This window comes from Homo sapiens, chromosome 5 (genome assembly GCF_000001405.40).
Source record: "Homo sapiens chromosome 5, GRCh38.p14 Primary Assembly".
Lineage (NCBI taxonomy): Eukaryota > Metazoa > Chordata > Mammalia > Primates > Hominidae > Homo > Homo sapiens.
The window spans coordinates 109,040,532-109,053,763 of NC_000005.10; the positions used below are offsets into that span (position 1 = coordinate 109,040,532).

Genomic DNA, 13,232 nt, shown 5'->3' on the forward strand with positions numbered 1-13,232 from the left:
GATCACTGATGACTTGGCTGAGCAGTTTCCTTGGAATGCTTTAGGTGAAAGCCAGTTTGGAATGGATTTGAGAGGAACGGGAGGAGAGAATTAGCGATAGCAAAGATGTAATTCTTTGAAGTTTTGCTGCAAAAGAAATCAGAGATGTGGGGTGATAGTTTCAAGAGAATGATTTGTGCTTTGTCACTGTTACTGTTTAACTTGAGAAAAATAATAGCATACTAGTTTGCAGTTGGGAATGATCTAGTGAAAATTCATCATTTAAGAGAGAGGGATGAACATTGCTAGAGCGTCATCCTTGAGCAGGTAAGAGGGGATGCAATTTAGTTCACAATGGAGGATTGACTTTAATAGAAACACAGTAGTTCACTTTTTATAACAGCGAGGAAAATTGGTAGGTGGGTCAATATAGGGACAAGAGCCCAGAGTTCTCTTTATATTGCTTCAATTCTTGAAATGAAGTAGGAAACAAAAGCATCAGCTAAGAATGAGGATGGGAGATTTGAGAAGAGAATAGAAGAGAAGCAGTCATCCAGAAAACTGGGAGTGTGAATGGTCTAAAGAAATATAATATGATTATTGAGTAGCATTAAGGGCCCCCTAAGGGTTTGTGTTCATGAATTTAAAGTTAAATCAGTCAGCATGATTATGGTTTTTCTCCAGCCATATTAGCTTTATAGGTGCAGAATAGGCAGAGTTTTGGATTTAATCAGACTTGTAGATTTGCTAAGGGAGTTTTACAGATTAACAGAGGAGCAAATAAACTGAGAGTGTATGGGAAGGCAGTTATAATTATTGACCATGGAATTTAAGGTGGAACACAGAAGGAGGAGAATATAATAAAAGAATGACGTAAAAAGTGATAGAACCGAAAGATTGGCAGTTCCTATAAAGTCAAAGGACTTTTGAAGTCTGGATAAGTATTCAAAAAAAAAAAGAGGAAGTAAGCTAGAAAGATAGAAGCCAACCGGAAGTTGAAATGAATGAGATAGATGTTATACAACATTTGCATTATTGGTATGGCAGAGTTTAAAGTATGACCCTAGAAAATAGCTTGGAGTGCAAGGTAATTGGAGGAGAGATGTTCAAGAAACTGAGAGTTTGAATTGTTGGAAGGTCCTTTAAATGTCTATTGAAATTACAAAGAATTAGGACACTGGGTAGACTGACAGTTACCCAACAGCTCAAATTGCCAATAAACAAAATATTTTCAAATTCAGTAAATGACAGCTGGAGTGAGGAATAGTGGGTAATATAATTGAGTGACAAATTTTCAAAGCTGAGAGTTTCAGGAATGTGGGAGAGATAATGGTTTAAAGCCAGTGATAAGTAGGTAATAGAACACTGTGTTCTATCTGCAGGGCATTAGTAGGATTATATGTGGGGAAAATAAGTCATCACTTAAGTTTAGATGGCAAAAGGAAGTTCATCCACCATTTGGGTCTTCTCAAGTGAGAGCCAGGATTTTGTTAGAACAGGAAGTTAAAGGAAATGATCAAAGAATAGATTGAAAATATAATTTTGATGATGATGGGCCATGAATTCCAGAAGGCACTATGCAAGTCGGAGATAGATGAGAAAGAAGGATCAAATAGAAGTATGCTGAATCTGAGGGGGCTGGAGAGGGAGAAATGAAGATTAACCGAGGACCAGGGTCATCTTACATTGACTGACATAAACACAGTCAAGGGGCATAAGATTTGTCCTCAGGGACTGAAGGGCAGCAGCAGAGATGAAGTCATGCTTCATGACTTTTTGTCTCACCCCTTGCATCTTAGAAAGGTTACCCTGATTCAGAATCTCAATTCTGTCACCTAAGCTGATCTTATATTCAGTCCCTCACCTCCCCTTTAAAGCAAAGGTTTGCGTTGAATGATGATTGAATGATACAGAGTGATGAGTGTCCTGAGCTTCCTCCTCACCTCTTTGGATAGAGAAGAGGTGGTCTGGGAAAGCATAGTCATTTCTCAGTGTCTGAAGACTGTCCCCCTGACCACCGTTGATAAAGTTGACATTCTCTGGATAGTGGTTGCTAAATTAATGTTTAAATTTTTCAAATGCCTAGTACATGCCAGTACCTCTTAAAATAGGGCAGAAACCATTAGAAAGACACAAAGGGCAATGGGGATAATATGTATTCAGGGACAGGAAAATCAATTTTGGGAAAATCAAGAAAGTCTTCATGAACAAGGGGCATAAGAAATGGATTTAAAGACGAAGTATCAGCTTCTGATTGGAGGTGGGCGTTTTCCACAGAGGGAAAAATGTAGAAAAGGCATGACACGTATTTAGGGATCACTATGTATTTGAGTTCAGAGTACATGTAACAGTTGGGGGTTATAATGTGGAGCTATATAGAGGCCAAGAAAGTGATAGTAATTGAAGGATGGATATTGAGCAAAGCAGTAGTATAATCAAAGTTTTCTCTAGGAAAGATTAATTTGGCAGTGCTGTTGTAGGTGGATTGGAGAAGTGAGGGACTGAAGATGAGATCAGCTTAGGTAATAGAATTGAGGTCATGAATCAGGGTAACCTTTCTGAGATGCAAGGAATAAGACAAAAAGTATTATGGAGGTAGGGTCTGAATGCTTACAAGGCAAATGATGGTTCTAGTAACCGAAAAAAGTAATATAGCCAGGAAGAATCTTTTGATTAATAAAACAGTAAGTTTTAGACAAGCTGAATCGTAAGTGCTTTAGGTAAGTGGAGGCCCAGCAGTAATCATGTAAATTAATATCTTCTCTCAGCTCTACCTCTGATGTAATAAATAATCTGACAATTGTGGGTAAAAGACAATCTCTTGAGAATAACAGATGTGAAGCTCAAATTTTCCTTTTTTAAATTTATCACGAATGTTTACTGTTTAAGTATATTTTTTATGAAAACATGATTGATCATTGTTTTATAAATATTTGAGTTGACTATTAGATTAAATGGTAAAAATTGAATATAAGACTTGTTAAAAATATTTTAAGGTATTTTAATAATTTTATTTATTAATAAGCCGTAGTTCAAGGTACAAATTTTAACTTGTGAACTTCAAATATTAAGAGTTACATTCATCTTAGTGCTCTAAAACTCAGTAAGCAAAGTAGGCTTCTAGTTTAGTTACTTCTTGCTCAACAATAGCATTAAAGTTTATTATAAAATGTTTGCATATGCCAGGTGTGGTGGCTCACACCTATAATCCCAGCATTTTGGAAGGCCAAGGCAGGCGGATCACGAGGTCAAGAGATCGAGACCATCCTGGCCAACATGCTGAAACCCCATCTCTACTAAAAATACAAAAATTAGCTGGGTGTGGTGGTGTGCGCCTGTAGTCCCAGCTACTCGGGAGGCTGAGACAGGAGAATTGCTTGAACCTGGGAGGCGGAGGTTGCAGTGAGCCGAGATTGTGCTGCTGCACTCCAGACTGGCAACAGAGTGAGACTCTGTCTCAGAAAAAAAAAGAAAAAAAAGTTTGCATAATATGATTATAGCTATGTAAAAAATACATATGCAGTGTAAAAAAACCTAAGAGAATACTCAAGAATAGCTGTTGTGCTAGTGTGTTAGTCTTGTTTATCTTCTCGGTAATGTTTTGGATTTAATTTTAAAAAATAGATTTCAAAATGTCATCTCTTCTAAAATAAATACACTATAAATCAGGCCTTTTTTTTTTTTTGGAGACAGAGTCTTGCTCTGTTGCCCAGGCTGGAGTGCAGTGGCGCAATCTCTGTTCACTGCAAGCCCTGCCTCCCGGGTTCATGCCATTCTCCTGCCTCAGCCTCCCAAGTAGCTGGGACTACAGGCGCCCGCCACCATGCTCAGCTAATTTTTTGGTATTTTTTTAGTAGAGACGGGGTTTCACTGTGTTAGCAAGGATGGTCTCGATCTCCTGACCTCGTGATCTGCCCACCTCAGCCTCCCAAAGTGCTGGGATTACAGGCATGAGCCACCACGCCTGGCCAAATGAGGCATTTTATACCACAATATGTCCTAGCCATAGAGTAAAGTTAGAAGTTCGTATGTCTGATAGAAATTAGTTCATCACTGGTGATATTGACATGTAGGTAAGCACCTCCTCCTCTTTGGTACCTTTCCTTGTATTTGGCAAAGATATACATGCTGTCATTTACCCCAGACAATGAATGTATTTCTATTTTCAGGGAAATTTTGGTGAAGTATATAAGGGCACATTAAAGGATAAAACTTCTGTTGCTGTTAAAACATGTAAAGAAGATCTTCCTCAGGAATTGAAAATAAAATTTTTACAAGAAGCCAAGTGAGTTATTTAAAGTAATCAAAATATGTATTTATTATGTAAATTATTTATTAAAATGTAAGTTTGAAGACATCTTAAATTGTGATTTACTGAAATAGTAGGGGTAAGCACTTTTACAGTATGGAATCCAAAAATTTGTGCTTTTGTGATATTCTGCAGATCAATTCAGCAATCATAGTCAAACCAGGTGTTAAAAAGCAGTATTATTCAAGTTCTTAAAATGTTAAGATATTTTGCTTTCATCACACATACATATACATATATGTATATATGCAATACTGTGCTTATGATAAAAATATTAATGTATTATATACATATACTGTACAGCTCACATATACATTTAAGTAGATAATTACATCTGTCCTACCCTCCTTAGATAGTACTGCTTGCTTCTGTTTTCTCAGCTGTTAGGTTTCATTTCTGAGAACCTCAGATTTCTTCTTCAACTGTATAACTTACATATACATTTAAGTATATACATTTAAGTATATACATTATATACATTATATATATACATTATATACCTTTTTATAGCTATCCTTGGTTTAGTTGTACATGTACAAAACATGCATAAATTTTTTATCTTTCTCCAAAGTTACCTTTTTCATTCTCTTAGGAAAGTATACAGCAGTTTTCAAAGATGAGTGAATTTATAACTGTTGATAAGATAATAAAGAATAAGATTTGGTAATAGAAATAATTGGGACAGACAGGCATTTGAGGTAATCTAGTTTATTTTTAGTTCATGTTTAGAGTCCTATAGGTGAGTGCATTATCAAGTAGAAGGGGCTCACTGCCCAATGTGCTAGAAGCCAATACTGTGACACCAGGTCTTTGAGAAAAGAAAAGCTTACTATTAAACGTCAACTCTTAATGATTTCAAAGCAATAGTTTTATTAGAAAAGGTTGAGGGGGTAGATTCTGAAATTACTAAGTGATTGGTGGAAGGGGAAATGGGAGGCCTGGAAAGTCCTTGGCCACACACAGTTATCTCTTCATGCAATCTCATGGTTCATATGTGCAAATCCAGGGGGAGTTAGTCTGAACCATGCAGTGGAAATTCAGGCTGTGATGTTAGCAAGCTTGTTTCTGCACAGATGCCAGTCAGCCCTATTTGTTCTAACCAATTTCAGCCAGTTCTTTTATAAACAACGGGAGTTTCAGTGATTAAGCAAGTTGTTTCTTTTTTTACGTGCTATCCTGCAAACTCAAGAATTTTTGTTGGTTATTACTGTGTTGAGGTTTTTTTTCTTAACTCTTTAGGGACATGGTTTCAAGTCTATCCTACTTTCATAGCCCTCTGATGAAATTTTGCCTTTATCCAAACAAAGTCTACTCTGCTTCAGCTGAAGTCTCTGTTGAAACTCCATTATTCAATTATCCATTTGCCAACTTTCTCAGAACTTTTGTTTCTACCATTTTGAAATTGACCCTGATCAAGAAAGTATTTAACTATTACAAAATCCAATGAAATGGTTACCCTGTAGCATTTGCCAGTATAAAATGATTTCCTATTTTATGTATTTTAAAATCAAGTGCGTGTGTTAAAAAATATATATATATATATGCGCTACCCTAGCAGCTTACAATTTTTGGCCCACTAATACTTTTCAGCTATACTTTTGTGGTAGTGGCTAAAACCAGATATTATAATTTGAAGGGAGTTGTACATGTTTTAGATTAACTAGTTTTTAACATGGTTGTTAATCATTCAGAGTAGATAATAATTTTTAAAAGAATATTAAATTAAGGAGAATTGACTCATTTGCATCCACATTATGTTGCCAATATGTATCAGTATGGTTGGGCCTCTGTCTCCATGGGTTCTGTATCTGTGGATTTGATCAGCCACAGAACAAAAATATTAGTGGGGGAAAATGTTGATGATTGCATCTGTACAGAACATGTACAGAATTTTTTTTCTTATTATTCCCTAAACAATACAGTATAACAACTATTTATATAACATTTACATTATATTAGGTCTTATAAGTAATCTGGAGATGGTTTAAAGTATATAAGAGGGTGCGTGTAGGTTGTATGCAAATATTGCACCATTTTGTGTAAGAGACTTTAACATGCATAGATTTCTGTATCCACGGGGGTCCTGGAACCAGTCTCCTACAGATACTGAGGGAAGGCTTTACTCGTTTGTATACATCCAATTTATCATAATTTGGGGTCATACTGAAATTTTAAAAATTGAATTATGATTCAAGAGTATTCTAGTTGTAAACCCTATTTGTGATCACAAATTAATGCTTTATTATTCAAATGATAACTATTCGTATATTTTCATCTCATCTAGAATTCTCAAGCAATATGATCATCCCAATATTGTCAAACTTATAGGAGTTTGCACACAAAGACAGCCTGTCTACATCATTATGGAACTGGTTTCAGGTAATGTGATCTGAGAATTTTTGCATGATGACATTTTAATGTCATGTTTTATTGTTTTTATATGTTCGATCTCTTTGATTTCTCCTCGTAAAGTCTCCAAGGATTTTGTTTAACATTTCCAGATAACAAAAGAGTCTGTACCTATAGTCAGTATTTTTATAGGCTGTAACACTTTACTATTTTCTAGAAAATGTCAACTGCTTTTTTAAAAGGCAGATTTATTATTAGAATATAGTTACACATGGAATTCAGTTATACATCTTTATGTGCAAAACACTATTTAGAAAAAGGCAGTGTACTTAGACTTTCTAACAGTGATAGTACTATCTTATATTTAGTTCACTGTATATCATTTTCCAAGTACATCTCCACACAACCTCTCTTCTAAATGTTTAAATTAATTTTTAATTTTTTTTTGTAGAAATGGAGTCTCACTATATTGCTCAGGCTGGTCTTGAACTTCTGGGCTCATGTGATTCTCCTGCCTTGGCCTCCCAAAGTGCTGGGATTACAGACATGAGCCGCAGCACCCTGCAAAACCTCTTTTTTGATGGTTATATATAATAATCTCACAATGCTTTGAATCACTTTCGAATTATGAACTTCTTTCATATGTGGACAAACAAAAAGGTGATCAGTCTATGAATATGTCTTGGTATTTATTTCTGGTGACTTTCAACACCTTTATGTTAACAACTTTTGACAACAAAGAAAACTTTGAAGTGCTGTATTAATAGTATGTTTTAAAGTTTTTTTCGTTGTCCAACTTCCTGTTGTAGAAGATACATTCAGAAGTAAAATTTGATCTCATAAGCTTTACAAATAGAGTATTTAATAAGTGAAAGGGATTTGCTTTACTTTTAACAATTATTTACTCATTTTAGGAGAAATTTAAAGAAATATGTAAAACGTTTCTAATTTTAATTAAAATATATTAAGTAAACATAATATTGTAGACTGCTCATTAATTTCTGTTTACAGAAATTAATTTTTCATGATTTATAATTATTGGTCCTGTTTTGTTATACTGCTTTGCTTGCTATTGAAATATTTCTCAATATTACCATGTAACTGCAGAATACCTAGATCATTATCATCTTTATCCTCATTAAGATGGCATTGTCTGTGTTAAGTACATTGTATGTTTTAATGGTTTAAATGTGTAAATATTATAAAAATACATATTAACATTTACATGGGTACAAATGAAGCCCCTGAATAATAAGGAACGCCACTGAAAAACTCAGATTTGGGAGGTGGGATGAACTTGAGGAAAGGTGATTCTGGTCTTACTGTAATTGTTAAAGGACCACAGATGCAAATACCAGATGACAAGTCCTAGTTAAATAAAACAAAAGAAGATAGCTTTGTAGAGGAGCCAAGCAAGTGTTTATCTAGACTCTGACTAGTAACCTGTTTATATTTTTTAAATGAATAAGAATAATAAACTTCATTAGAAAATTGAAAATATAATAAAAGGTAGAAAATTGAAAATGAAACCTTCTACTCAACAGTCTAATTATATCTCAAAGCTAATTGCTGCTTGCAGTTTTTAAATTTTTTTCCAGAAAAATGTTTAATGCAGATGCTTTAAATTTAATTATGAAACAAATTATACTCCACCACTGTTTCAGATCTTGCTTTTTTTTTCTTATTACTATAATGTGTGATGGTTTTACTGTTTTGCAGTTATCTATACAATTCTACTTTTTTTGGTAATGGCTACAGAATATTCCATTTTGTGGATTTACATAATTTATTCAACCGCAACTTTATTTGTGGATAGTTTGGTCATTTTTATTTTTATTATTTGTTTTTACAAACAGTGTTCAATGAATATCCTTGGACTCACTGTAAGAATCATTTGGAAGTGTGTCTGTAGGTAAAAATTCAGTAGTGAGATTGTTGGATCCGAGTTTCTGTGTATTTTGATTTATGTAAATGTATTAGCTTTTGATTGCTGCACAAGTAATTATCACAACCTGAGGGCTTAAAGTGACACCCATTTTTTACCTGACAGGGTCTGTAGGTTAGAATTCCTGGCAGCCTTGACTGTGTTCCGTGCTCAGGGTCTCACAAAGCCAAAATCAGGATGTCAGGCTGAGCTGTTATCTGGAGGCTCTGGGGAAGAATCTGCTACCAAGCTCATTCAGTTGCTGGCAGAATCATGTCCCTTGCAGCTATATGTCTAAAGTTCCTGTTTCTTTGCCTTCTGTCTGCCAGGGGCATCTCTTAGCTCCTTGAGGTTGCCTGCATCCCTTTTCACATCGTCTTTCTATCTTCAAAGTCAGCACGGGCCTGCTAAATCCTTCAAGTATTTTGAATTTTTCTAACTTTCTCTTACGTTACTAGCTAAAGAATACTCTCTACTTTTTTTTTTAAAATGCTAAATTAAAACTATTGAATAAAGAACACTCTCCAGAACACATGATCTGATGGACAAGGTCTACATTACATGCAGTGAAGCTGAACATGACCATAGTTTAACATGGAATGTCAAACAAATTAGTAATTTTCATTGTACAAAACTGTTTATGTAGCTGACATGCAAGTAGAAAAGTGTCATACTCAGCATTTTCACCAGTCGTCTGTGATGAGTTTTAAAAAAGGCATTTGGAGAAACTGGTAGATGTCTTCAGCATATAGTTCAAATAAATTAGTTATATGTGTACTACTGAATCCTCTTTCAACCTCTCTTGCATTCCAAATGAAATCTTAGTGCAAACATCAAAGTTGCTGGTCACTCCAAAAGACTGTTAAACTCAGAATACAAGTTCTGAATTACTGTGTATTAAGTAGGGCAAACCCAAGAATACCAGTTACTGCAAAATTCATTTAGGCACGTTTAATAGTCCACTCCACTCTAAGCATTTTTTCTAAGTCTCTCACATTAATGACTAAAGCCTGTTTACAGTACTAAAATTCTGTCATTCAAGCATCAGTGATTACATTTCAGAGAAAGGAAATTCATTTCAGTAATAGCATTACTGCTATATCCTAAAAAAAAGAGAGAAAATAAAGAATCATAATTAACAAAACTAGTATCCGTAATAGGATACACGGGGAAAAACATTTTAGGAGAAAAAAAAAAGTGTGTTTTACTTGCCACAGCAGGAATTATATAATGTAAACACCGTATTGGCCCACACCACAAAAATCCATGAGAAAGGTTCAAATTTGAACACTGTATGTGCATTATTTTCAAATCTGTGTTTGTGAGTTTGTACTGTATCTGCTTGTACCAATACATGACAAACAAAACAAACTTCCACACACATACAAGTGACTGTTAAATATTAAGCATGGCTTGATTCCCTGACTCTAGCTCAAAAGAAAAAAAATGTTAAGTGACATCCCAACTGTCTTAAAAATGTTTACAGAAACCATTAAATGAATGTGAGTAGTAGCTGAGGAATGATGAAAAAGTGATGGTAATGATATGGTGCAAGTGGATGGAAAAAATATATGTATAATGCTGAGATTTTCAAATGCATGGAAAATCTTATTCTGTGGGCCTTGTCTGAATTTTAAACTGATACCAAGAATAAAAAAATATAGTAGCACAAGTCCATTGACACCTGGAGGGTCAGGCCTAGAAAGCTAACCTTCAAAGTGCAAATTTTAACAATGGAATGTTTTAGCAGGGACTTAAGGACAATCCTCTGTCTTTTTCTTGTTGAAAAGACCTAAGATGTTCAGGAAGTATTTATTCCTGGCCAGAATTATTTCAGTTTCTTGGTAAAACAAAAATATTTAGCCACAATTACCACCCACTCATTCACATACCCAGAACCATTCTTAGGGGTGTTTGCTGGGAGAAAAAGCCCTAATCTATGTATCATGTAATGGAACTCTTATTTATAATCTAAGTTTTTTGAATCCACTACTTTAAATACCAATATGCACCTCTCTTATCCCCTCCCTCTCCACCCATCTACCCCATACACCCCCAGTGAACCTAGGTATTCTAATGTCTTTGTGTTTTCTAAGCCTCATGAATAAGACTGTTGAATACCACCTCCACCGGATCAAAATTAACACCTGGTGCACTTTCTACAGCACCTTTTTTCTTCTCCACAAGTGAGAGGAATCTTGATACTTTCAAGCCTGTATCTAGATCTCCAGGTCATCAGGCTGAGGCCTGCTGCTGGCACGACTGCTGGCTCTGCTTGAAGGTTGCTGGTCCACAATGGCTAGTGGCTGTAGTTCATGTCCAGCAGCTAGTTTTTTAGAATTCTGGTTATCATCGGGGAAATCAAAAGGCTGTGCGTGGGAGTTAGAGATGGTGCTTCCCGCCTGCCCCATTCGATTTTGTTCTGCACTGTAATTAGCCCAGTTTTGCTCACTTGCTTGCTTGTCGTAATTGCGGCAAGAAGAATTGTTTCTGTCGCCATTAACCAGCTTGTACCCAGGAAGAGACATAGGCGAGAGGGGAGCAGTTGGTGAGGAGCAGCCATTGAAATAAGCATATTTTTGAGACCCACAGTCTTTGGCGGGGCTCAGCGGGCCAGTGGTCGCATGGTAAGGGTCGCTCTTTCCCTTAACCCAATCCTTAACGCCCTTGAAGAAAACGTAGAAGAGTTCAATGATATTCAAGGCCAGGGACACCAAGGACACCACCAGCATGAAGATGATGAAGATGGTTTTCTCCATGGGGCAAGAGAGGAAGCAGTCCACCTGATGTGGGCAGGGATCTCTTTTGCAAGTGTGAACAGCACTCAAGCTGAATCCATAGATGTACCACTGGATCAGCAAGGTCACCTCAAAGATAGACTTGAAGAGGATACTGATGATGTAGGTTCGCAGCAACCCCCCTTGCATTTTCACCTTACCATGCTCTTCAATACCATACTTGAACTTCTTTATCTCAATCTGCTTCAAGTGCATCTCCACATTGACACCATCAGTTTGGGCAACCTTGAGTTCCTCCTCTTTCTTGTTCAGTTTCTCTTCCTTTTGCATCACATAGAACACATGAGCCAGGTACAAGAGTATGGGTACAGACACAAATATGATCTGCAGGACCCAGAAGCGCACATGAGAGATTGGGAAAGACTTGTCATAGCAGACATTTTCACAACCAGGTTGCTGAGTGTTACAACGAAAGGCAGACTGCTCATCTCCCCAGGCTGACTCAACCACTGTCTTCAGCAGCAGGATTTGGAAAATGAAAAGTACTGACAGCCACACCTTCCCTCCAGCAGTTAAGTAGGCTTGAACCTTGTCAAGGAGTTTGCCTAAAGTGCTCCAGTCACGCATGTTGCCTGGGCACCACTCTTTTGCTTAAAAGAAGTGAAGTCACGCCAGGTGATTGAACTCCTTGGAGGATGAAGTAAAATGAAAAGGCAAATTCAGGCACTCAGACCTGTCTATTTAAAGTTTAAAACTCCGCTGCTGTTTGTTACTTTCCTCACACCTTCCCCCAATGAAAGAAAAGTGCTGATACCTCGTAAAAGCTGCTACTCTCTACTTTTAAAAGGGCTTGTATGATTAGATCAGGCACACCTGGATAATCTTATTTTAAGGTCAACTGTACATGATAGAACATATTATGAGTAGTACTTACACTCATAGGGATCCAGGTATTAGAGTAGGACATCTTTGGGAGGCCATATTCAAATTCTGTCTACCACAGTAGATTTTGCTAAATTTTCCTAAAGGCTGTTTGCAGTGTGGAATCTCAAATCTTATTAGTGAACTTTTCATATTCAGTTACATTAAGTTCATTGGTTGATCTTGCAGTTTGAATGCCTCTTTTACCCATGCATGATTTTATAGCATCATGCTTCAGTCATTTGGAAAATATCAGATCACCAAGTCATGCAGGTATTTCAAATAATGATATAATTCATTATGTAATATCACACATTTATTAATGTCACAAGTCTCAGAAAAGTAATGGAGGCGGCCGGGAACAGTGGCTCACGCCTGTAATCCTATCACTTTGGAGGCCAGGGTGGGTGGATCATGAGGTCAGGCATTCGGGACCAGCCTGGCCAACATAGCGAAACCCCATCTCTACTAAAAATAAAATTAGCCAAGTGTGGTGGTGCATGCCTGTGTAATCTCAGCTACTTGGGAGGCTGAGGGAGGAGAATCGCTTGAACCCAGAAGGCAGAGGTTGCAGTGAGCCAAGATCATGCCACTGCACTCCAGCCTCAGCGAAAGAGTGAGACTCCGTCTCAAAAAAAAAAAAAAAAAAAAGTAATGGAGGCTGTGAAGCTCATTGTGGCAGATACATGTTTTGAACAAATCTGTAGCACCTAAATTTACTCATGCCTCTTTGTAATTCCTTTCTTCTACCTTTTACTACCCTGTCACAGCCAACCACTAAGGTGCTTTCTGTCACTAGGTATTAGCATTTCTCAGAACTCTTAAAAATAGAATCATGCAGTAAGCACTTTTTTTTCCACTAAGTATAATTATTTTAAGATTAATCCATATTGTAATGTGTATCAATAGGTTATTCTTTTTATTGCTGAGTGGAGTTCTATTTTTTTTTTTTTTTTTTTGAGACGGAATCTCGCTCTCGCCCAGGCTGGAGTGCAGTGGTGCGATCTTGGCT

General features: G+C 36.6%; 1 protein-coding gene and 1 pseudogene across 18 annotated transcripts in view; one reads left to right on the top strand and one right to left on the bottom strand.

Moving 5' to 3' along the window:
• Window positions 1–13,232, top strand: part of FER (FER tyrosine kinase) — a 448,945-nt gene that overhangs the window by 292,635 nt on the left and 143,078 nt on the right. For 17 of the 18 annotated variants that reach the window (NR_146155.2, XR_007058589.1, NM_005246.4 and 14 more), the window contains 2 exons: window positions 4,149–4,264; window positions 6,573–6,667. Coding sequence is in view for 15 of the 18 variants with exons in the window: in NM_005246.4 (NP_005237.2) it covers window positions 4,149–4,264; window positions 6,573–6,667 (211 nt within the window). In the remaining 3 variants the exon portion in view is untranslated. Of the gene's footprint in view, window positions 1–4,148; window positions 4,265–6,572; window positions 6,668–13,232 lie in introns of those variants that run through there. The other variant, XR_007058591.1, reaches the window with a different exon arrangement.
• On the bottom strand, window positions 9,051–12,125 carry GJA1P1 (gap junction protein alpha 1 pseudogene 1; annotated as a pseudogene).